The following is a 22,680-nucleotide window of genomic DNA, read 5'->3' on the forward strand; positions in this document are numbered from 1 at the left end:
CAGCCATGAGGGAGGGGCTTCTGGGACCACTGGGTGGACAGCAGGAGATGGTAATGTGGGGTTGGCCTTGTCCCCATCTGGGCTGGTGTTAGAGGGCAGCAGCGATGCAGACCCCACGGAGCCATGTCTGGCTGAACTGTGGGGTGACCTTGGCCATCTGTTTCATGGTCTCCGGGGCTGGCGGGCTGGAGCCCAGCATGGTCACTCACAGGCCTGTCCATTGTGCCTGCTGCCCTGTGTGTTTGGGTCATGGGCTGCACTGCTGTGGTAGCCACCATACCCATGGCGCTGTGTCCTCGATCAAAATCGTAACATGGCACGCGGCGGTCCCCTGCGGGGAGGGCTGTGGCATGGGTTTCTGATGGACCGTGTGATGCTGTGGGTATAACGATAACTCCCCCAAACGTAATCATAATACCACAGTGACACAGACCTCACTTCAAACCTACCATCTGGCCTGGGGAAACCCGGGATGTCCAGGGCTGACCTGAGGAGGCAGCAGGGCACCGAGGGGAGGCTGTGGGCCCAGCGCTCTCAGGTCTACTGCAGGAACACTCGGGTCTGTCCCTCGCTTATGTGGATAGTGTCCGCGTCCAACTGTGTCCTGAGGCTCCACCTCAGGCTGGCATCTGTCCCTATGTCCCTACCCACCCCATGGCCATGTCCTTTCGGGTTCATAAATTGCCCCCAAATCACGCAGGCACCATTCTGGGGCTTTTTATATTCCCAGGGCCACCAGATGCCTCCACCCAGAAAGGTCAGATGTGGGAGAGTTCCAGAGTCATTCCCCAACCCTGGATGAGCTTCTGCAGCCTCAGTGCTACTCAGGTTCCAGCAAGACCTGGAGCAGGTGCAGGTGAGGCCGGAGGCCAGGTGAGGTCCAGGTCAGGTGAAGCCCAGGCCAGGTGAGGTCCAGGTCAGGTGAGGCCCAGGCCAGGTGAGGTCCAGACCAGGTGAGGTCCAGGTCAGGGGAGGCTGAGGTGGATGTGTGAGGCTTCTGCAGTTTTCTCTGGGTGCTCACCCTGCCTGGTGTCCCTGCCCCTCCTCTCAGCACCCACTCTGTGCCTGCAAGGTGGTGGCCCGTGCACAGGTGGTGGTGGCTGTGGAGGAGCTGGGCTCTGCCTCCCTGTGCGTGGGCGTCCCTCTCGGGCTCTGCCTGGGCAGTGTGGCTGAGCTGCTTCTCTCTGGAATTCACTGACTGTGCCATCCTTGGGGGTATACAGCCCTGCGCTTGCTCCACATCAGGCCCCAGGAGCTGCCAGCATGTACCAGCCTGCCCTGCCACACAGTGTGCCTGCAACCTGTCCGGGGATCCCAGGGAGGTGAGTGCCACCACACATCAGGCCTTTTCTCTTTAAAGTCATTTCTTTGGGGATACATCATCGATGTCTCATGTACTAAATGTATGTCTGTATCATTGTGCAATTGCCTGTGTCATCATTTATTTATCCAACCTGGGTTAATGTCTTTGCTATTATGAATAGTGCTGGACTGAGAATTTTCTAAACACAGCTGTGTGCATTTTCCTCTTCTTGCGATTTAGAAGTTTAACTGCTGTATTCAAGGTACTGTAATGTATTCGTTCTGTGCTTGCTTGGAGACTTGCCGACTCTGTGTGTCTCAGCTCATACCCTCTTCCTTCCCCAGTAGAAGTAACCACAACTGTGTTTATGTGATCATCGTTTTCTTAATTTTCCTTGTAGTTTTTCCAGGGGAAAGTTTATCCCTTAAGAAGACAGTTCATTTTGCCTGGTGTAAATTTTATTTAGAAGAAATCACATTAAAAGTATTTTTTGGGCTTTCCTCTGTTACTCCAATTACTCAGCATTGTCATGAACTCAACCGCAAAGCCGCCTGTAGCCCTCTACTGTTGTCCCCTGGCTGTCTGGGTTTGCATTGCATGAACCTACCATTGCTTATTTGACTGTTCTTCAGATGGACGTTTGCTCTGTTCTCAGTTTGAGTCTATGATAATCAGCTGTTCTGCACATCTTTCCCCATGACGCTCTCAGGGAGGGCTCTGGGGCTGGCATTGCCTGAGGGTTCTGCTTTGTCGCAGGGAGATCCTGCCAGGGCTTTTCAGAGTGTCTGTGCCCAGCAGCAATGCCTGAAGGTGCCCACTGAACTTTGTCCTTGCATCAGGCACTTTCTGTGTGTTTGCTTCTGTACTGCTCCACATTCTGGAGAGTTTATTCAGATCTATGCTGCAAATTCATCTCACTGATTCTCTCTTTAGCTGTGTCTACATCAGCTCTTAAGCATCCCATGATGCAATAGTGTGGTCACAAGGCAAACTTTTGAAAGATGACAGTGTAGGATAGCGGCTGCTCCTCCTTCCCTGTGCTCTTCCCACAGACTGCCCTCCTGGGCTCATTCCCAGCCACTGATCTTGAACACCAGTTTATGGAACTCTCTGCACAGGAAAGCAGAAACAGCAAAAGGCCCTGCTCAGGCTCTGCCTGCATCCCCTCTTGCACACCCGCCAAAGCTCTTTCCTTGGGGCCTGTGCAAGCTTCCCAGAGCCTCTCATTTTCTGTTTACCCTGCTCGCTGGCTGGTGGGGTGGTGTTTGGCGGGCAGTCTGGTGCATTTTGGACATTGATAGACACCCCTGGACCCTACTTCCCAGACGCTCCCCCAGCCCCTCAGCCCCAGGAGTGGGTGTGTTTGCAGTAGGGCTTTGGGAATGGGTCTGTGTCACTGTGGGAGTAGCAGCTACCACCACTACAATATCCTCACAGTGACACGAGCCCCCACAAAATCCTCCTGTCCCTACTGGTGTCACCGAGGTCCCTTTTGCTGGCTTTGGTCTGTTCTCCTGCTGAGACTGTGCATTCCAGCGGGTTGTTGTCTGAAACTCAGGGTGTCTCAGAGAGGACTCTGAGCCCAGTGCTGTATAGGGGGCTCCTCCTTTGTCCTGGGGGAGTTGCGTGGACCCTGTTTTTGGTCAAGGGAAGCATTTGATGGTGAAGGAGATCTCCCCTCCTCTCTTTCTCGGGAGCCCCCTCTGATACTGTTGCCTGGTGTTTCTTGGGGCTGGTGCTGGGGGCTCAGCAGTCTCTGCCCTGTTCCAGGTGGGGCTGTGGGTGTGTTATGTTTCCTAGGTGTGTTATGGGGCCACCATTGAGGAGCTCGGGATGTCAGCGGCTGGTCTCTGTCCCTATGGTATGGGCTCCGGCTCACTGCTCCCCTGCCCTCCAGGTCGGTCATTGACTCAGTTACTATCCAGCAGCCTCTGTGGCTGTTTGGTGGTGGCTGCAGGTCTCTTCCCAGGAGAGGCCTGTGAGAGGACTGGGATGTCTGGGAGCCCTGCATTCTCCCGTGATGCTGCTGCCTGGATCCCTTGTCTTTAGAGGGAGTGCGGAGCCTCCCTGCAGGTGCGGGCAGTGAGAGACACGGGGGGACGTGTGTCAAGGTGCTGGAGGCCGATTTCTTTCAGTGCCTTCTGCCTGTGGAAGGGCTGAGCTCCCTGCTTCTGTGCACAGGAGGCTCCCGTGTAACCGGGAAGTGAGGGCAAGAGCCCAGGCCTGCCTGGGAAAGACTTGGGTGAGCCTTTGTCCTGGAAATACCAGGGCTTGGCCTGAGAGGGGGCGGGGTCGGAGTGGCCAGGAGGAAGGTGAGGGCATGGGCTGTGGGTGGTGGGAGGGCAGGGTCAATGCCATGGCTCAGGGGCTCCAGGAGAAGAAGAGTTAGAGTTGTGGGCAGGAGGAGGTAGGGTGTGGGCACAGGGGGGAGAAACTGAGGCTCTAGCGACAGAAGAGGACAGGGCCTGCAGGTGCAGGGTTGGCCTGGGAGGGGTGTCTGGAGTGATACACAGGGGTCTGGGTGGAGACCAGGGTAGGGACTGCAGGGACAGGACCCCAGAGTTTTCTGGGTGGGCAGTAAGAGCAGCAGGGTTGGAAGGGCCCCAGGCAGGGTTGGGTCTCCCCAGGGTGTGGGCTGCAGGGACTGGCTGCACAGGCTGTTCCCCCGAAGGAGGAACCAGGGAGGACAGAGGCGCTGGGAGCAAATGGAGAAGGAAATGGCAGCCACCTGAGTGCCAGGCGGTCCTGGTTTGGGGTTGTTCTGTGTGGGAACAGCTTCCTGGCCTGTGTGTAAGTGGACGGGGGAGGGCGCCCAGGTCTGGGGCAGGAAGCAGTAGCAGGAAGGCAGGTTCTGGCCCTGGGGGTCTGGAGCTTATCTTCTTCCTGTGAGCTGTGTGTGGGTGGCTCCTGCACCCGGTGCCCTGGACCTGTGGTCTGGTGGAGCCCAGGCCTCCCAGGGACAGCAGGGCAGCCTGGGCTGCAGGAACCTCAGGGACCAGGTCAGGGTGGCCCTCGGGCCTCTGCCTCCACTTGCGACAGGCGCTGCTGTGGGAACCTGGGCTTGAGGCCCCTTCACTCATGATGGGAGCCACGTGAGTGAGACCCTAAGTCCATACCCCATGTGGGGCTCTGACCCTCCTGCAGAGCCGCTGGGCAGGGGTGGGTGGGGTGTGCAGGTGGGGGTGGGGTGGGGAGCTCAGCCCCTCCCAGAGGCACCCTGCTCTGCTCCAGAGTGTGTGCTTGGGCACTGCAGGGTGGCTGGGCCTGGGCTGCCTGGTGTGCTTGTGGTGGCTTCATCCCCAGAGCTGGGACTGAGGCCCAGTGGGGTCCAGGGAGGAGTCTGAATGGGGCTCCAAGGAGCACCTGCCTTGGATGGCACCCTTATCTTGGGGAGGACATGGGGTCCAGCTGGGAGGAAGGGGAGTGGCCACCTCCTGGAGGTCTTTCCAGGGCCACCTCAGCCTGTGGCCTCTGTGCTTGGCGACCTGCCAGAAGTTCCTCCTGGCCCAGACCCCAAAGTCTGTGCTGCCCCAGGAAAGGAAGGAAAGGTCTGCGTCCTGGTCAAGGTCGGGGTCACACTGGTGTCCCCTAAGCCCAAGTCTGCTCCCAAGGCCTCGCCCGGCAGCAGGTCCTGAGTGAGGGACAGAGGCAGAGGCAGGGTCTTTGGTCCTGGTGGACTCTACGGCGAATTCCAGTGGGAAGTCATCAGGGTCGGGGTCCCCCAGGGTATTGGGGTGTCTCTGCTCCTGGAGTTGGCTCTGGATGTGGGGTTTGTGCCTGTGCTGCCTGGGGTTGATGTTGGGAGGCGCCGGTGATGCCTGTCTCTCTGAGGACACTTGTCAGAAGGGTCAACTCCAGCCAGGGGCACTGGAGCCACGGCAGAAGGATGCGATCAAGCCCCTGCCCCGACCCGCCGGAATCCCCAGCTCTTGTCCTCCCATCCAGTGGGGACACTGTGGGGCTCCGCGTGCTGGGGGTCATGGGAGCCGGCAGGACATGGGATCAGAGTGGCTGCTGCCCTCTCTGGCGGGGCCTCCGGCAGTGGCCACTGGACAGTTTTTGACGTAGCTATTCTGACAGTGGTGGTTCCGGTTATACCCGCTGTGACTCGGGGCTGTTCGGAATCCGACGGGGCGCCCTGAGCTCTGGGGCCTCCTGGGTGGGGGCTGGGCTTGTGGGCGGGGTCTCCTGCGGGGGCTCCGGAGGCTGTGGCTCATTTTAGGTGTGGGGTGAGCACTGTGAGCCCCAGCTAGCGGAACACCCACAGAGACCGAGGCCTGCACACATTCCGCCCCGGTGTGTGGGGTGGGCCCAGGACTCTCTGGGCAGGTCAGCCTCAATGGGGAGAGTGCTCGGGACCTGCCTAACTCCTCCTTGGTGTACAGGGGACCCATCTCCTCACCCTAGACCCCCCCTCAGGCCGCCCCTGATCTTGCAGAAATGCAGGACAGGGTGGGGTGCCCTGGAGGGGAGACGTCTGCTGGCCTGGGTGTCAGGTGCAGTCTCAGATCCTAAACGTGTCCTCCCTGCTCTCTCTGCTTCCGCTGACTTGGAATGGGGTTTCTGGCTGGGTGAGTGTCACTGTGGTACCAGCTGCTGCTATACCCCACTGTGACACAGACACCTTCAGAAACCTCCTGGTCTGTTTGGGGGCCTTCCCTTGCTGGGCTCAACACCCCTTGGTTTTGTCTGGCTTTGACGGGGCGTCCCTCAACCCTGGTTCTGGGGGGCCTGCGCCTCTGTCTGGTGTCTGGAATAGGGGTCCAAGTCAGGGGTCAGCTGCCTCCCGACCTGCAGAGGCTGGAGACAGACGTTCCTCTCAGGGTGTGGGCTGGGTGGTCCTGGATGGAGCTGACATCTGTGCCTGTATCGGGGGCCCCATATCTTGCTCCTTCATGGCTCTTAGCTCCCCCTGGCAGGACCTCCTCAGGGTGCTGGGTCTGTCCTGTCTGGGTGGGGCTGCCACCCAGGCCCAGTTGTTGGACGTCGTGGGCTGGCCTGGGGGGTGCAGGGTGCAGAGCAGGAAGGGGCGCACTCTGGTGGGGCATGTCCCGGTCATCCCTGTGCTCATGCCATTTCCTGCCTTGGGCACCTGCATTCAACCCCGGCAAGGGCAGGGGTGGCCTCCCAGCCTACAGCCTGCCTGGGATCTGCTCTCGCCCTGGAACTGGGGACGGAGCCATCCTGGAGGTCAGCAGCCTCCTAGGACAGCAGGATTCCAGGCCAGCCCCTAGCGGGAGGCAGTGGGGATTTTGGCAGGGTCTGCGTTTTTGTCAGAGCTACCACCCAGAAGTGACAGTGAGAAATGCCCCAGCAATATGTCCCGTCCACAGCCGTCTGCCCACCCTGTCTTAGCCAGGGCTAGGGAGGGTGCTGTGTTTCTGGCAGGCCCAGCCCTTGACCTTCCTTGCAGGGATGAGGCCCTGAGAAGCTGAGCTGCTGGTGGTACTGGAAGAGGTCTCCAGGGCAGGGGGTTGAGCATTAATCGAGTGGCCTGGGTGGGGCCGGATCCTCCTGTAGGCTGGTCACTCAGGGTTTGGCATCTCTGGCTGATCCCTGCAGCCAGGTACTGCCGGGGTACTCACAGTGCTCTGGGCCCACTGTCTGGGCTCACAGCCTCATTTCCAGGGGGCCGGGTGGTGCTCCAAGCCTCAGTTTCCCCACTGTGGAGGGGATGCTGCTGGAGGGATGAGGATCATAGAGGACAACCTGGCAGCTTCTGTGCCCGCTGCCCGTGGGACCCGGGCTGTGGGATGGGACAGGCTTCCCCATCAGGGCTGGGCCTGCCGGGGGCACAGCACTCTCAAATGCCCACAATGGGGGCTCCGTGGCTCTGTGACTCCGTGGCTCCGTGGTGCTGCCTGCACCTCTCAGGGCGGGAAGCTGCCTTTCCCTGCCAGCCTTTGATTTCTATCTCAATCATCCCTGCCCTGGAGCACAGACCTCCCACTGAGGGAACCCTCCCCACAGAGGGCCAGAGGACAGACAGCAGCCTTGAGAGCCCCAGGAGAAGCAGGTGAAGTGGATGCCTGGGGCTGCGCAGCAGGGGCCTGTCTACTTGGCCTGGTTGCTGCTATGGGCGGCACCACTGTGGTAATCGTAGCCACTATATCCACCACAGTCTGACATCGCCTGACAATAACCACACCTGGAACTGGAGGCGGGGCTGTCAGGAGGAGCTTCCCAGGGAACAGGGAGGGTCCAGACAGCTGAGCCAGGGGCCCCCAGGACTGGGGACGTGGGGGGCTGCTTAGGTACCAGACATGCACAGTGTCTCCCTGGAGAGGCCTCTGCAGCCTCCTGGGCTCTGGGGCAGGCCTCTGGTCAGCAGGAGGCTGGGTGCTCCCCGGCATGTGCTCTCCTGCCCTCACTGGTGAGCTCCTATGTGGCCCAGTGTGGGCCCAGCTCCAGCGTCCACTCCTGTCGGCCTGGCCGAGGGTCCCGGCAGAACTGGGCATGGCTCCTTCTTAGGGGCCTCGAGGACTCTCTCTACAGCTGTACCTGGGGCTGGGGGCTCCACGAGTGGTCTTTTCCAGGTGGGGACGACAATGGCAGGTGTTTCTCTAGTGGCAGGTGAGGGGAACTGTCCAGGGCCTGGCCCTGCGGAACACAGCGGCCTCTCAGAGGAGGGTGTGCGGGAGTCCTGCCTGTTGGGAGCCTGGCGGATGCTGCCTTCTTGATTCCAGCCAGGATGGGAATCCAGGCAATTGGCAGGAGGTACTGGAATGAGGCTGGTGTCTACAGCTATTCAGGGTCCCAGGAATTGGCTGTTGGAATCGGGGCATCTGTCAAGACAGGGTCTGGTATAGCTGGCAGGGAAGGGCCAGGTCACCTGTGGTCATGAGTGAGGTCACCTCAGAGCCCTCTGAAGCCCCTATTTGGAGGAAGATGGTGTGCAGGGCACCAGCCCAGGCTGAGATGGCCCAGGTGTCCCTAGAGGCTGAGGGTCTGGGCACAAATCCTTGGGCCCGGCTCTTGTGCTCCTGGAGAGCTCCAAGCTGAGGCGTGCACACAGCCCCTGGGTTTCCAGCCAGTTTTTGCCACTGGGTTCATCACTATGGTAGTTACTGTAGTCACACAGCAGGAGGGCCCTTCACAAAAAGCCCGAGTGTGGCCAGAGACCTTTCCCACGCAGGCCCTGGTCCAGGCATTTGGGGCCCCTATTGACAGCGGTGCTGCGTCCTGGGGATCTCAGGCCGCTGTGATGCCACTGAGGACTGTCCTGGAAGAGGGTGTCCACTGGGGAGAGAGGCAGGGATTTCTGGAAGGTTCTTTGTCTCTGAATGTGGGAGGCGAGTCCTCTGTTGGCTTCCCCGGTGAGGTCTGGAAATGAGCAGGACTCAGGACGGCCGGGCAGGATGAGCGACGCCCAGCTCCGGCTGTCCCCAGGAATGTCTTCTGTCTTGGAAATGACCCAGGAGAGGCTCAGGTGTCAGGGCCAGGCAGGCCAGGGACCACAGGGGCAGGGACAGTGCACAGGGCCAGCCCCTCCCTCCTGGTGCCCCTACTCAGACATGAGGGCTCTCAGTGTCCACACATGTGGCCCAGCCTTGAGGGAGGGGCTTCTGGGATCGCTGGCCTGATGGCAGCAGATGGTGCTGTGAGGCCGTCCCTGTCCCATTTGGACTGGCGTTGGGAGGGCAGCAGCGATGCAGACCCCTCGGAGCCAGATCTGGATGACCTGTAGGGTGACCTTGGCCATCTGTTTCATGATCTCCAGGGCTGGCAGGCTGGAGCCCAGCGTGGTCAGTCACGGGCCTGTCCATCGTGCCTGCTGCCCTGCGGGTTTGGGTCACAGGCTGCACTGCTGTGGTAGCCACCATACCCATGGTGCTGTCTCCTCGATCAAAATCCTAACATGGCACGTACCGGTCCCCTGCAGGGAGGGCTGTGGCGGGAGGCTCCCAGGGATGGGTTTTTGATGGACTCTGTGACACTGTGGTTATAATAACTCCCCGAACCATAGTAATACCACAGTGACACAGACCTCACCCCAAACCTACCGCCCAGCCTGGGGAAACCCGGGATGTCCGGGGCTGACCTGAGGAGGCAGCAGGGCCCCATGGGGAGGGCTGTGGCGGGAAGCTTCCAGGCATGGGTTTTTGATGGACTCTGTGACACTGTGGTTATAATAACCAGTCAAAATATCGTAATACCACAGTGACACAGACCTCATTCTAAACCTACCGGCAGGCCTGGGGAAACCTGGGATGTCCAGGGCTGACCGGAGGAGGCAGCAGGGCTCTGAGGGGAGGCTGTGGGCCCAGCGCTCTCAGGTCTGCTGTGGGGACACTCGGGTCTATCCCTCGCTTATGTGGATAGTGTCCGTGCCCACCTGTGTCCTGAGGCTCCACCTCAGGCTGGCATCTGTCCCTATGTCCCTACCCACCCCATGGCCATGTCCTTTCGGGTTCATAAGTTGCCCACAAATCACAGAGTCATCATTCTGGAGATTTTTATATTCCCAGGGCCACCAGCTGCCTCCACCCAGAAAGGTCAGATGTGGGAGACTTCTAGAGTCATTCCCCAACCCTGGATGAGCTTCTGCACCCTCAGTGCTACTCAGGCTCCAGCAAGACCTGGAGCAGGTGCAGGTGAGGCCCGAGGCCAGGTGAGGTCCAGGTCAGGTGAAGCCCAGGCCAGGTGAAGTCCAGGCCAGGTGAGGTCCAGGCCAGATGAGGTCCAGGTCAGGTGAGGCCCAGGCCAGGTGAAGCCCAGGCCAGATGAGGTCCAGGTCAGGGGAAGCCAAGGCCAGGTGAGTTCCAGGACAGGTTAAACCCAGGTCAGGAGACGTTCAGGTGAGTTGAGGCCCAGGTCAGGTAAAGCTTGGGACAGGCGAGGTCCAAGTCAGGTGAGGCCAAGGTCAGGTGAAGCCCAGGTTAAGTGAGGCCCAGGCCAGTGAGGTCCAGGTCAGGGGAGGCTGAGGTGGATGTGTGAGGCGTCTGCAGTTTTCTCTGGGTGCTCACCCTGCCTGGTGTCCCTGCCCCTCCTCTCAGCACCCACTCTGTGCCTGCAAGGTGGTGGCCCGTGCACAGGTGGTGCTGGCTGCGGAGGTGCTGGGCTCTGCCTCCCTGTGCGTGGGCGTCCCTCTCGGGCTCTGCCTGGGGAGTGTGGCTGAGTTGCTTCTCTCTGGAATTCACTGACTGTGCCGTCCTCCGGGATATATGGCCCTGCGCTTGCTCCACATCAGGCCCCAGGAACTGCCAGCAGGTACCCGCCTGCCCTGCTGCACAGTGAGCCTGCAACCTGTCCGGGGATCCCAGGGAGGTGAATGCCACCACACATCAGCCCTTTATCTCTTTAAAGTCGTTTATTTGGGGATACATCATCGATGTCTCATATACTAAATATATGTCTGTATCATTGTGCAATTGCCTGTGTCATCGCTTATTTATCCGACCTGGGTTAATGTCTTTGCTATTATGAACAGTGCTGGACTGAGAATTTTCTAAACACAACTGTGTCCATTTTCCTCTTCTTGCAATTTAGAAGTTTAACTGCTGTTTTCAAGGTACTGTAATGTATTCGTTCTGTTCTTGTTAGGAGACTTGCCCACCCTGTGTATCTCAGTTCATACCCTCTTCCTTCCCCAGCAGAAGTAACCACCACTGTGTTTATGTGATCATCCTTTTCTTGGTTTTCTTTATGGTTTTCTAACTGGGAAATGTATCCCTTAAGAAGACAGTTCATTTTGCAGGGTGTAAATTTTATTTAGAAGAAATCACATTGAAAGTATTTTTTGGAGTTTACTTTGTTACTCCAATTACTCAGCATTGTCATGAACTCAACCAGAGTCGCTTATAACCCTGTACTTTTGTGCTTGTGGCTGTCTGGGTTTGCATTTCATGAACCTGCCATCGTTTATTTGCCTGTTCTCCTTCAGATGGACGTTTGCTTTGCTCTCAGTTTGGGGCTATGAGAAACACCTGTTGTGCACATCTTTGCCCATGAGGCTCTCAGGGAGGGCTCTGGGGCTGGCATTGCCTGAGGGTTCTGCTTTGTCACAGGGAGTTCCTGCCAGGGCTTTTCAGAGTGTCTGTGCCCAGCAGCAATGCCTGAAGGTGCCCACTGAACTTTGTCCTTGCATCAGGCACTTTCTGTGTGCTTGCTTCTGTGCTGCTCCACATTCTGGAGAATTTATTCAGATCTGTGCTGCAAATCCATCTCACTGATTCTCTCTTTAGCTGTGTCTACATCAGCTGTTAAGCATCCCATGATGCAGCAGTGTGGGCACAAGGCAAACTTTCGAAAGATGACAGTGTAGGATAGCGGCTGCTCCTCCTTCCCTGTGCTCTTCCCACGCTGTCCTCCTGGGCTCACTCCCAGCCATTGATCTCGAACACCAGTTTATGGAACTCTCTGCACAGGAAAGCAGAAACAGCAAAAGGCCCTGCTCAGGCTCTGCCCGCATCCCCTCTTACACACCCGCCAAAGCTCTTTCCTTGGGGCCTGTGCAAGCTTCCCCAGCTTGCTTCTCATTTTCTGTTTACTCTGCTCGCTGGCTGGTGGGTGTGATGTATGGAGGGGAGTCTGGTGCGTTTTGGGCATTGATGGACACCCCTGAGCCCTATTTCCCAGACGCTCCCCCAGCCCCTCAGCCCCAGAAGTGGAATGCGTTTGCAGTAGGGCTTTGGGAATGGGGCTGTGTCACTGTGGGTATAGCATACACCATTAGTACAATATCCTCACAGTGACACGAGCCCCCACAAAATCCTCCTGTCCCTGCGGGTGTCACTGAGCCCCATCTTGCTGGCTCTGGCTGGCTCTCCTGCTGAGACTGTGCATTCCAGGGGGTTTTTGTCTGAAACTCTGGGTGTCTTGGAGAGGACTCTGAGCCCAGTGCTGAACAAGGGGCTCCTCCTTTGTCCTGGGGGAGTTGCATGGATCCTGTCTTCGGTCAAGGGAAGCGCCTGCTGGTGAAGGAGACCTCCCCTCCTCTGTTCTGCCAGAGCCCCCTCTGATGCTGTTGCCTGGTGTTTCTTGGTTGGTTCTGGTGCTGGGTCTCAGCAGTCTCTGCCCTGGTCCAGGTGGGACTGTGGGTCTGTCCTCTTTCCATGGGGTGTTGTGGGACCACCAGTGAGTGGCTTGGGATGTCAGTGGCTGTCCTCTGGCCCTATGGTGTGGGCTCGGGCTCACTGCTCCCCTGCCTCCAGGTCTGGCAATGACTCCGTTACTACCCATCGGCCTCCAGGGAGGTTTGGTGTTAGACTCCGTTGACTGGGCGTCTTCAGGTCTCTTCCCAGGAGAGGCCTGTGAGAGGACTGGGATGTCTGGTAGCCCTGCATTCTCCTGTGATGCTGCTGCCTGGATCCCTCGTCTTTAGAGGGAGTGCCGAGCCTCCCTGCAGGTGCGGGCAGTGAGAGACACAGGCAGACGTGTGTCAAGGCGCTGGAGGCCGATTTCTTTCAGTGCCTTCTGCCTGTGGAAGGGCTGAGCTCCCTGCTTCTGTGCACAGGAGGCTGCCCTGTAACCGGGCAGTGAGGGTAAGGGCCCAGGCCTGCATGGGAAAGACTTGGGTAAGGCTTTGTCCCAGAAATACCAGAGCCAGGCCTGAGAGGGGAGTGGGGCTGGAGTGGCCAGGAGGAATGTGAGGGCATGGGCAGTGTGTGGGTGCGAGGGCACGGTCAATGCCATCCCTCAGGGGCCCTAGGAGAGGAAGAGCTCGAGCTGTGGGCAGGAGGAGCACGGGGGTGGGCACAGGCAGGAGAAACTGAGGGTCTTTGGCAGTGGAGGGGAGGGCCTGCAGGTGTAGGGTTGGCCTGGGAGAGGTGTTTAGAGGGAGGAAGACGGGTCTAGGTAGAGAACTGGGTGGGGGCTGTAGGGACAGGACCCCAGGGCTGTCTTGGTGGGTGGCAAGAGCAGCGGGGGAGAAAGGGCTGGAGGAGGGTCAGGTCTCCCCAGGGTGTGGGCTGCAGGGTCGGGTCTCCCCAGGGTGTGGACTGCAGGGAGGAGCTGCACAGGGTGCTCCCCCGAAGGAAGGAGGAGGGAGGAAGCACAGAGGCATTGGAAGTGAATGGAGAAGGAAATGGCAGTGACCTGAGTGCCAGGTGGTCCCCGTCTGGGGTTGGTCTGTGTGGGAACAGCTTCCTGGCCTGTGTGTAAGTGGACGGGGGAGGGCAACGAGGTCTGGGGCAGGAAGTCGTAGCAGCAAGGCAGGTCCCGGGCCTGGGGGTCTGGAGCTTATCTTCTTCCTGTGAGCTGTGTGTGGGCGGCCCCAGTGTGGGCGGTGCCCTAGACCTGTGGTCTGGTGGAGCCCAGGCCTCCCAGGGACAGCAGGGCAGCCAGGGCTAGAGGAGCCTGAGGGGCCAGGTCAGGGTGGCCCTGGGGCCACTGCCTCTACCTGTGACCAGCGCTGCTGGGGGGATCTGGGCATGAGACCCCTTCTCCCAGGAGGGGAGGTGCGTGAGTGAGACCCTAAGTCCATATCCCATGGGGGCTCTGACCCTCCTGCAGGGGGCCCGGGCAAGGGTGGGTGGGGTGTGCAGGTGGGGGTGGGGGTGGGGAGCCCAGCCCCTCCCAGACGCACCCTGCTCTCCTCCAGGGTGTGGGCTTGGGCACTGCAGGGTGGCTGGGCCTGGGCTGCCTGGTGTGCCCGTGGTGGCTGCATTCCTAGAGTGGGGACTGAGGCCCAGTGGGGTCTGGAGAGGAGCCTGAAGGGGGCTCCATGGAGGACCTGCCTTGGATGGCACCCCTATCTTGGGGAAGACATGGGGTCCAGCTGGGAGGAAGGGTAGTGGGCCACCTGCTGGGGTTCCCCCTGGGGCCACCTCAGCCTGGGGGCTCTGTGCTTGGTGACCTGCCAGAAGTTCCTCCCTGCCCAGACCCCAAAGTCTGTGCTGCACCAGGGCAGGAGGGAAGGGTCTGTGGCCTGCTCGAGGTCAGGCCCACAGTGGTGTCCCCTAAGCCTGAGTTTGCTCCCAAGTGCTCGCCCCGCAGCAGGCCCCAAGTGAGGGACAGAGATGGGACGGGAGTCATCAGGGTTGGGGTCCCCCAGGGTATTGGGGTGTCTCTGTTCCTGGAGTTGGCCCTGGATGTGGGGTTTGTGCCTGGGCTGCGTGGGGTTGATGTTGGGAGGTGCCACTGATCCCTGACTCTCTGAGGACACTTGTCAGAAGGGTCAACTCCAGCCAGGGGCACTGGAGCCACGGCAGAAGGAAGCCATCAAGCCCCTGCCCCGACCCGCCGGAGCCCCCGGCCCTTGTCCTCCCATCCAGTGGGGACACTGTGGGGCTCCAGGTGCACGGGGTCATGGGAGCCGGCAGAACATGGGTTTGGGGTGGCTGCTCCCCTCTCTGGCGGGGCCTCCGACTGTGGCCAGGAGACCGTTTTGGACGAAGCTTTTCTCACAGTGGTAGTTCCAGTTATACCCACTGTGACTCGGGGCTGTTCAGAATCCGACGGGGCGCCCTGTGCTCTGGGGCCTCCTGGGTGGGGGCTGGGCTTGTGGGCGGGGTCTCCTTCAGGGGCTCTGAGGCTGTGGCTCGTTTTAGGTGTGGGGTGAGCACTGTGAGCCCCAGCTAGCGGAACACCCACAGAGACCGAGGCCTGCACACATTCCGCCCCGGTGTGTGGGGTGGGCCCAGGACCCTCTGGGCAGGTCAGCCTCAATGGGGAGGGGGCTTGTGTCCTGCCTGGCTCCTTCTCTGGGTAGAGGGGACCCATCTCCTGGTCCTGGACCCCCTTCAGCCTGCCCTTGTTCTTCCAGAAATGCAGGACATGGCAGGGTGCCATGGACAGGAGACGTCTGCTGGCCTGGGTGTCAGGTGCGGCCTCAGATCCTAAACATGTCCTCCCTGCTCTCTCTGCATTCCGCTGACTTGGGATGGGGTTTCTGGCCTGGCGAGTGTCACTGTGGGACGAGCTGCTATACTCCACTGTGACACAGACACCTTCAGAAACTTCCTGGTTTGTTTGGGGACCTTCCCTTGCTGGGCTCAGCACAACTTGGTCTTTTCTGGCCTTGACGGGGCGTCCTCATCCCTGGTTCTGGGGGGCCTGCCCCTCTGTCTGGTGTCTGGAATAGGCGTCCAAGTCAGGAGTCAGCTGCCTCCTGGCCTGCAGGGACTAGAGAAAGGGGTTCCTCCCAGGGCAGGACGTGGCAGTCCTGAATGGAGCTGAGGTCTGTGCCTGTATCGGGGGTCCCATATCCTGCTCCTTCATGGCTCTGAGCTCCCCCTGGCAGGACATCCTCGGGGTGCTGGGTTCATCCTCTGTGGGAGGGGCTGCTACCCAGGCCCAGGACTGCAGTGGAGGGCTCACTGAGGGGCTTTTGGGTCTTGCCTGAGCCGCTGTGGAGGTATTCCACTGTGAGAGGGTCCCGCACAGATTCTCCCATCCTGCTTCTCCTCCCAGAGCCTGGAGGGGATGGGATCCGGGGGTCCCAGAGGAGGATCCTGGACCCAGGGGAGGGGGGCCTCTTCACTGAACTCCCCTTCCTCCATCCTTCCCTCCCCAAAGCTGCCCTGGCGGCCCCCCTGCACCCCAGCCTCTGTCTGCACTGGCTGTGCCGGCTCTGGTGTAGGTGGGACTTAGGATGGTGTGGACGACGTGTGGCCAGGGTGGAGAGGAGGTGGGTGAGTCCGTGGGTGAGAGAGATGGGCTCATCCAAGATGGAGCACCCGCGGGGCCCTGAGCCCTCCCCCACACCGTCCCTGGTCCTTCCCTGCAGCCTGCCACTGTGGGAGCCATAGGCAGGGTGGACCATACCCTCTAGGAGGCTGGCACCTCCCTGGGTTCACAAAGACGGAGCCTCCTGCCTGGTGGTGCAGTGGCCCCACTTCCTCCCTCAGCCCTTCCTGATGGCTTCCTGGGGATTCTGGATTCCCATGGGGTGATGAGAGGAGAGCAGATGGGAGGAGGGGCAGGGCTGGGTCCTGGGTAAGGGGGTGCTCGGGCTGGGGTCCCTGGAGAGAAGTTCTGGGCTCCTGGGGGCCAATCAGGCAAGCGTCCTTTCTGTCCACACCCCAAGGGTCCCAGCCAGAGCCAGGTGGGGGAACCATAAGGAGAGGGCGTGTCCTGTCCTCCCCAGTCCTCTAGACAGGGTGGGGGCTGAGGGGTCCTCCCTAGGGCAGCACCGGGCAGTGACTCTGGTGTGGGGTTGTCGGATGTCATGGGCTGGCCTTGGGGGTGCGGGGTACAGAGCAGGAGGGGGTGGACTCTGTTGGGGGATGGCCCGGTTATCCCTGTGTTCAGGCCATTTCCTGCCCTGGTCACCTGCAGTGAACCCTGGGAAGGAGGGGGTGGCCTCCCAGTCTGCAGCCGGCCTGGGATCTGCTCTCGCCCTGGAACTGGGGACGGAGCCATTCTGGAGGTCAGCAGCCTCCTAGGACTGCAGGAGATCAGGCCAGCCCCTAGCGGGGGAGGCCGTGGGGATTTTGGCGAGGACTGCGTTGTTTGGGAGCCAGTGCCCCACTAGGCACAGTGACAGATACCCCAGCAGGATGTCCTGTCCCCGCCAGGCTGCCCACCCTATCTTAGCCGCGGCATGTGAGGTTGCCCATCCATTGGCCTTCCTTGCAGGAATGAGGCCCTGGGATGTTGAGAACAGATCTCCCACTGAGGGAACCCTCCCCACAGAGGGGAGAGTGCAGAAAACAGCAGCCTTGAGAGCCCCAGGAGAAGCAGGTGAGCTGGAGGCCTGGGGCTGCACAGCAGGGGCCTGTCTACTTGGCCTGGTTGCTGCTATGGGCAGCACCACTGTGGTAACCATAGCTGTATCCACCACAGTCTGACACCCCCTGACAATAACCACACCTGGAACTGGAGGCGGGGCTGTCAGGAGGAGCTTCCCAGGGAATAGAGAGGGTCCAGACAGCTGTGCCAGGGGCCCCCAGGACTGGGGACATGGGGGGCTGCTCAGGGACCAGACATGCACAGTGTCCCCCTGGAGAGGCCTCTGCAGCCTCCTGGGCTCTGGGACGGGCCTCTGGTCAGCAGGAGGCTGGGTGCTCCCCGGCATGTGCTCTCCTGCCCTCACTGGTGAGCTCCTATGTGGCCCAGTGTGGGCCCAGCTCCAGCGTCCACTCCTGTCAGCCTGGCCGAGGGTCCCGGCAGAACTGGGCATGGCTACTTCTTAGGGGCCTCAGAGACTCTCTCTATGGCTGTACCTGGGGCTGGGGGCTCCATGAGTGGTCTTTTCCAGGTGGGGACATCTACAGCAGGCATTTGTCTAGTGGCAGGTGAGGGGGACTGTCTGCAGCCTGGCCCTACGGAACACAGCGGCCTCTCAGAGGAGGGTGTGGGAGTCCTGCCTGTTGGGAGCCTGGGGGATGCTGTCCTCTTGATTCCAACCGGGATGGGAATCCAGGCAATTGGCAAGAGGTGTTGGAAGGAGGCTGGTGTCTACAGCGATTCCTGGCCCCAGGAATTGGCTGTTGGAATCGGGGCATCTGTCAGGACGGGGTCTGGTGCAGCTGGCGGGGAAGGGGCCAGGGCACCTGTGGTCATCAGTGAGGTCACCTCAGAGCCCTCTGAAGCCCTTGTTTGAAGGCAGACGATGTGTGGGGCACCAGCCCATGGGCTGTCATGGCCAAGATGTCCCTAGAGGCCGAGGGTCTGGGCAGAAACCCTTGGGCCCGGCTCTTCTGATCCTGGAGAGCTCTGAGCGGAGAAGTGTGCATAAACCTTGGGAGTCCGGTCAGTTTTTGCTGCTGGGTTCATCACTGTGGTAGTTACTGTAGTCACACAGTAGGAGGACCCTTCACAAAAAGCCCCTGAGTGTGCCCAGAGGCCTTTCCCACGCAGGCCCTGGTCCAGGCGTCTGGGGCCCCCATTGACAGTGGTGCTGCGTCCTGGGGATCTCAGACCTTTCTGAATCTTCTCCGCCTGCCATCGAGGGCAGGAGGGTCTGACTCACCCTTGCGCGCTCCTGTCCCTTCCAGGAGGGGCTGAGGTGATGTCTGGCAGGAGGGTGTGCAGGAGTCAGTCCTCCTGGAGTTTGAGCCCTGGGGCAGATGCAGGGGGTGGGACGCCTTTTAGGGGTCTGGGAAGGGCTGGGCTGTGGGGCTGTCCCTGTGGGCCATCTTGTGTTCTGGGGGCAGTCCCGATCCAGATGTGGGTTCCCACTGTGATATCACTGAGGACTGCCCTGGAAGAGGGTGCCCACTGGGGAGAGAGACAGAGATTTCTGGAAGGTCTTTGTCTCTGCCTGTGGGAGGTGATTCCTCTGTTGGCTTCCCGGGTGAGGTTTGGAAAGGCGCAGGACTCAGGATGGCCAGGCAGGATGATGGACTCCCAGCTCCAGCTGTCCTGGGAATGTCTTCTGTCTTGGAAATGACCCAGGAGAGGCCCAGGTGTCAGGGCCAGGCAGGCCAGGGACCACAGGGGCAGTGACAGTGCACAGGGCCAGCCCCACCTTCCTGGTGCCCCTACTCAGACATGGGGGGCTCTCAGGGTCCACACATGTGGCCCAGCCTTGAGGGAGGGGCTTCTGGGACTGTTGGCCGGATGGCAGCAAATGGTAATGTGGGCCGGCCCTGTCCCCATCCGGACTGGTATTGGAGGGCAGCAGCGATGCAGACCTGTTGGACTGAGGTCTGGCTGACCTATGGGATAATCCTGGCCATCTGTTTCATGGTCTCCAGGGCTGGCAGGCAGGAGCTCAGGGTGGTCACTTGTGGGCTTGTCTGTTGTGCCTGCTGCCCTGTGTGTTTGGGTCACAGGCTGCACTGCTGCGGTAGCCACCATACCCATGGTGCTGTGTCCTCAGTCAAAATCCTAACATGGCACGCAGCGGTGCCCCACAGGGAGGGCTGTGGCAGAAGGTTCCCAGGGATGGGTTTTTGATGGACTCTGTGACACTGTGGGTATAATAACCACTCCAAAAATCGTAATACCACAGTGACACAGACCTCACCCCAAACCTACCGCCAGGCCTGGGGAAACCCGGGATGTCCAGGGCTGACCTGAGGAGGTAGCAGGGCACCGAGGGGAGGCTGTGGGCCCAGCGCTCTCAGGTCTACTGCGGGGACACTCGGGTCTGCCCCTGGCTTAGGTGGACAGTGTCCGTGCCCACCTGTGCCCTGAGGCTCCATTTCAGGCTGATATCTGTCTGTATTGTCCCTACCCGCTGCATGGCCATGTCCTTTTGGGTTTATAAATTGCCCCCAAATCACGCAGGCATCATTCAGGCTTTTTATATTCCCTGGGCCACCAGGTGCCTCCACCCAGAAAGCTGAGATGTGGGAGGTTCTAGAGTCATTCTGCAACCCTGGATGAGCCCCTGCAGCCTCAGTGCTACTGAGGTTCCAGCAAGACCTGGAGCAGGTGCAGATGAGGCCTGAGGCCAGGTGAAGCCCAGGCCAGGTGAGGTCCAGGCCAGTGAGGCCCAGGTCAGATGAGGCCCAGGTCAGGTGAAGCCCAGGTCAGGTGAAACCCAGGTCAGGTGAGGCCCAGATCATGTGAGCTCAGGACAGGCAAGGTCCAAGTCAGGTGAGGCCGAGCTCAGGTGAAGCCCAGAGGTGAGGTCTAGGCCAGGTGAGGTCCAGGCCAGGTGAGGTCCAGGTCAGGTGAGGCCCAGGTCAGGCAAGGCTGAGGTAGATGTATGAGACTTCTGTAATTTTCAGTTGGTGCCAACCCTGCCTGGTGTCCCTGCCCCTCCTCCCAGCCCATGCTCTGTGCCTGCCAGATGGCGGCCCCTGCACAGGTGCTGCTGGCTGTGGAGGAGCTGGGCTCTGCCTCCCTGTGCATGGGCGTCCCTCTCGGGCTCTGGCCTGGGAGTGTGGCTGAGTTGCTTGTCTCCGGAATGTACCAACTGTGCCGTCCTTGGGGGTATATGTCCTCGGGGGGATACGGCTCTGTGCCTGCTCCACATCAGGCCCCAGGAGCTGCCAGCAGGTACCAGCCTGCCCTGCCACACAGTGTGCCTGCAGCCTGTCCGGGGATGCCCAGGGAGGTGAGTGCCACCACATATCAGGCCTTTTCTCTTTAAAGTCATTTCTTTGGGGATACATCATCAATGTCTCATATACTGAATGTATGTCTGTATCATTGTGCAATTGCCTGTGTCATCGTTTATTTATCCAACCTGGGTTAATGTCTTTGCTATTATGAACAGTGCTGGACTGAGAATTTTCTAAACACAGCTGTGTGCATTTTCCTCTTCTTGCAATTTAGAATTTTAACTGCTGTTTTCAAGGTACTGTAATGTATTTGTTCTCTTCTTGTTAGGAGACTTGCCAACCCTGTGTGTCTCAGTTCATACCCTCTTCCTTCCCCAGTAGAAGTAACGACCACTGTGTTTATGTGATCATCCTTTTCTTGATTTTCCTTATAGTTTTCCTAGTGGAAAGTTTATCCCTTAAGAAGATAGTTCATTTTGCCGGCTGTAAATTTTATTTAGAAGAAATCACATTGAAAGTATTTTTTGGACTTTCCTTTGTTACTCCAATTACTCAGCATTGTCATGAACTCAACCACAGAGTCACCTGTAACCCTCACTGTTGTCCTTCTGGCTGTCTGGGTTTGCATTTCATGAACCTGCCATCGTTTATTTGCCTGTTTTCCTTCAGATGGCTGTTTGCTTCATTCTCAGTTTGGGGCTATGACAAACATATGTTCTGCACATCTTTGCCCATGAGGCTCTCAGGGAGGGCTCTGGAGCTGGCATTGCCTGCAGGGCTCTGCTTTGTTGCAGGGAGTTCCTGCCAAGGCTTTTCAGAGTGTCTGTGCCCAGCCTGAAGGTACACACTGTACTTTGCCCTTGCATCAGGCACTTTCCTTGTGCTTGCTTCTGTGTGGCTCCACATTCTGGAGAATTTATTCAGATCTGTGCTGCAAATCCATTTCACTGATTCTCTCTTTAGCTGTGTCTACATCAGCTGTTAAGCATCCCATGATGCAGCATTGTGGGCACAGGGCAAACTCTTGAAAGATGACAGTGTAGGATAGCGGCTGCTTCTCCTTCCCTGTGCCCTTCCCACACTGTCCTCCTGGGCTCACTCCCAGCCATCGATCTTGAACACCAGTTTATGGAACTATCTGCACAGGAAAGCAGAAACAGCAAAAGGCCCTGCTCAGGCTCTGCCCGCATCCCCTCTTGCACACCCGCCAAAGCTCTTTCCTTGGGGCCTGTGCAAGCTTCCCAGCTGCTTCTCATTTTCTGTTTACTCTGCTCACTGGCCAGTGGGGTGATGTCTGGGGGGGAGTCTGGTGCGTTTTGGGCATTGATGGCCACCCCTAGGCCCTACTTCCCAGACGCTCCCCCCAGCCCCTCAGCTCCAGAAGTGGAAGCGTTTACAGCAGGGCTTTGGGAATGGGGCTGTGTCACTGTGGGCATAGCAGCTGGTACTACTACAATATCCTCACAGTGACACGAGCCCCCACAAAATCCTCCTGTCCCCGCGGGAGTCACTGAGTCCCCTCTTGCTGTCTCTGGCTAGTTCTCCTGCTGATACTATGATTTCCAGGGGGTTTTTGTCTGAAACTCAGGGTGTGTTGGAGAGGACTCTGAGCCCAGTGCTGTACAGGGGGCTCCTCCTTTGTCCTGGGGGAGTTGCGTGGACCCTGTTTTTGGTCAAGGGAAGTACTTGCTGGTGAAGGAGACCTCCCCTCCTTTCTTTCTCAGGAGCCCCCTCTGATGCCGTTGCCTGGTGTTTCTCAGGGCTGGTGCTGGGGGCTCAGCAGTGTCTGCCCTGTTCCAGGTGGGAATGTGGGTCTGTTCTGTTTCCACGCGGTGTTCTGGGGCCGCCAGTGAGGGGCTCGGGATGTCAGCGGCTGGTCTCTGTCCCTATGGTCTGGGCTCCGGTTCACTGCTCCCCTGCCCTCCAGGTCGGTCACTGACTCAGTTACTATCCAGCGGGCTCCGTGGCTGTTCAGTGGTGGCTGCAGGTCTCTTCCCAGGAGAGGCCTGCGAGAGGGCTGGGCTGTCTGGGAGCCCTGCATTCTCCCATGATGTTGCTGCCTGGATCCCTCGTCTTTACAGGGAGTGCCGAGCCTCCCTGCAGGTGCGGGCAGTGAGAGACACAGGCGGACGTGCATCAGGGTGCTGGAGGCCGATTTCTTTCAGTGCCTTCTGCCTGTGGAAGGGCTGAGCTCCCTGCTTCTGTGCACAGGAGGCTGCCGTGTAACCGGGCAGTGAGGGCAAGGGCCTGCATGGGGAAGACTTGGGTGAGCCTTTGTCCTGGAAATACCAGGGCTGGGTCCAAGAGGGGAGCAGGGTCAGAGTGTCCAGGAGGAAGGTGAGGGCATGGGCAGTGTGGGGGTGGGAGTGCACGGTCAGTGCCATGGCTCAGGGGCCCCAGGAGAGGAAGAGCTCGAGTTGTGGGCAGGAGGAGGCAGGGGGTAGGCACAGAGGGTAGAAACTGAGGCTCTGGCAGCAGAAAAGGGGAGGGCCTGCATGTGCAGGGTTGGCCTGGGAGGGGTGTCTGGAGGGAGAGACA

At 59.4% G+C, this 22,680-nt stretch overlaps 15 gene segments (V, D, J or C) and 1 further gene; all 16 read right to left on the reverse strand.

Annotated features, from left to right (window-relative positions):
• The window catches only part of IGH (immunoglobulin heavy locus), a 1,293,408-nt gene that overhangs the window by 308,816 nt on the left and 961,912 nt on the right, over positions 1-22,680 (reverse strand).
• Positions 382-418, reverse strand: IGHD3-16 (immunoglobulin heavy diversity 3-16). The segment is given in 1 exon segment: positions 382-418. A coding segment is annotated over 1 exon segment (37 nt), but the record flags the coding sequence as incomplete, so codon positions are not given.
• On the reverse strand, positions 2,705-2,735 carry IGHD2-15 (immunoglobulin heavy diversity 2-15). The segment is given in 1 exon segment: positions 2,705-2,735. A coding segment is annotated over 1 exon segment (31 nt), but the record flags the coding sequence as incomplete, so codon positions are not given.
• Positions 5,386-5,402, reverse strand: IGHD1-14 (immunoglobulin heavy diversity 1-14 (non-functional)). The segment is given in 1 exon segment: positions 5,386-5,402. A coding segment is annotated over 1 exon segment (17 nt), but the record flags the coding sequence as incomplete, so codon positions are not given.
• Positions 5,890-5,910, reverse strand: IGHD6-13 (immunoglobulin heavy diversity 6-13). The segment is given in 1 exon segment: positions 5,890-5,910. A coding segment is annotated over 1 exon segment (21 nt), but the record flags the coding sequence as incomplete, so codon positions are not given.
• Positions 7,397-7,419, reverse strand: IGHD5-12 (immunoglobulin heavy diversity 5-12). The segment is given in 1 exon segment: positions 7,397-7,419. A coding segment is annotated over 1 exon segment (23 nt), but the record flags the coding sequence as incomplete, so codon positions are not given.
• On the reverse strand, positions 8,364-8,379 carry IGHD4-11 (immunoglobulin heavy diversity 4-11 (non-functional)). The segment is given in 1 exon segment: positions 8,364-8,379. A coding segment is annotated over 1 exon segment (16 nt), but the record flags the coding sequence as incomplete, so codon positions are not given.
• Positions 9,245-9,275, reverse strand: IGHD3-10 (immunoglobulin heavy diversity 3-10). The segment is given in 1 exon segment: positions 9,245-9,275. A coding segment is annotated over 1 exon segment (31 nt), but the record flags the coding sequence as incomplete, so codon positions are not given.
• On the reverse strand, positions 9,429-9,459 carry IGHD3-9 (immunoglobulin heavy diversity 3-9). The segment is given in 1 exon segment: positions 9,429-9,459. A coding segment is annotated over 1 exon segment (31 nt), but the record flags the coding sequence as incomplete, so codon positions are not given.
• Positions 11,959-11,989, reverse strand: IGHD2-8 (immunoglobulin heavy diversity 2-8). The segment is given in 1 exon segment: positions 11,959-11,989. A coding segment is annotated over 1 exon segment (31 nt), but the record flags the coding sequence as incomplete, so codon positions are not given.
• Positions 14,655-14,671, reverse strand: IGHD1-7 (immunoglobulin heavy diversity 1-7). The segment is given in 1 exon segment: positions 14,655-14,671. A coding segment is annotated over 1 exon segment (17 nt), but the record flags the coding sequence as incomplete, so codon positions are not given.
• On the reverse strand, positions 15,158-15,175 carry IGHD6-6 (immunoglobulin heavy diversity 6-6). The segment is given in 1 exon segment: positions 15,158-15,175. A coding segment is annotated over 1 exon segment (18 nt), but the record flags the coding sequence as incomplete, so codon positions are not given.
• IGHD5-5 (immunoglobulin heavy diversity 5-5) lies at positions 17,005-17,024 on the reverse strand. The segment is given in 1 exon segment: positions 17,005-17,024. A coding segment is annotated over 1 exon segment (20 nt), but the record flags the coding sequence as incomplete, so codon positions are not given.
• IGHD4-4 (immunoglobulin heavy diversity 4-4) lies at positions 17,970-17,985 on the reverse strand. The segment is given in 1 exon segment: positions 17,970-17,985. A coding segment is annotated over 1 exon segment (16 nt), but the record flags the coding sequence as incomplete, so codon positions are not given.
• Positions 19,107-19,137, reverse strand: IGHD3-3 (immunoglobulin heavy diversity 3-3). The segment is given in 1 exon segment: positions 19,107-19,137. A coding segment is annotated over 1 exon segment (31 nt), but the record flags the coding sequence as incomplete, so codon positions are not given.
• Positions 21,574-21,604, reverse strand: IGHD2-2 (immunoglobulin heavy diversity 2-2). The segment is given in 1 exon segment: positions 21,574-21,604. A coding segment is annotated over 1 exon segment (31 nt), but the record flags the coding sequence as incomplete, so codon positions are not given.

This window comes from Homo sapiens, chromosome 14 (genome assembly GCF_000001405.40).
Source record: "Homo sapiens chromosome 14, GRCh38.p14 Primary Assembly".
Lineage (NCBI taxonomy): Eukaryota > Metazoa > Chordata > Mammalia > Primates > Hominidae > Homo > Homo sapiens.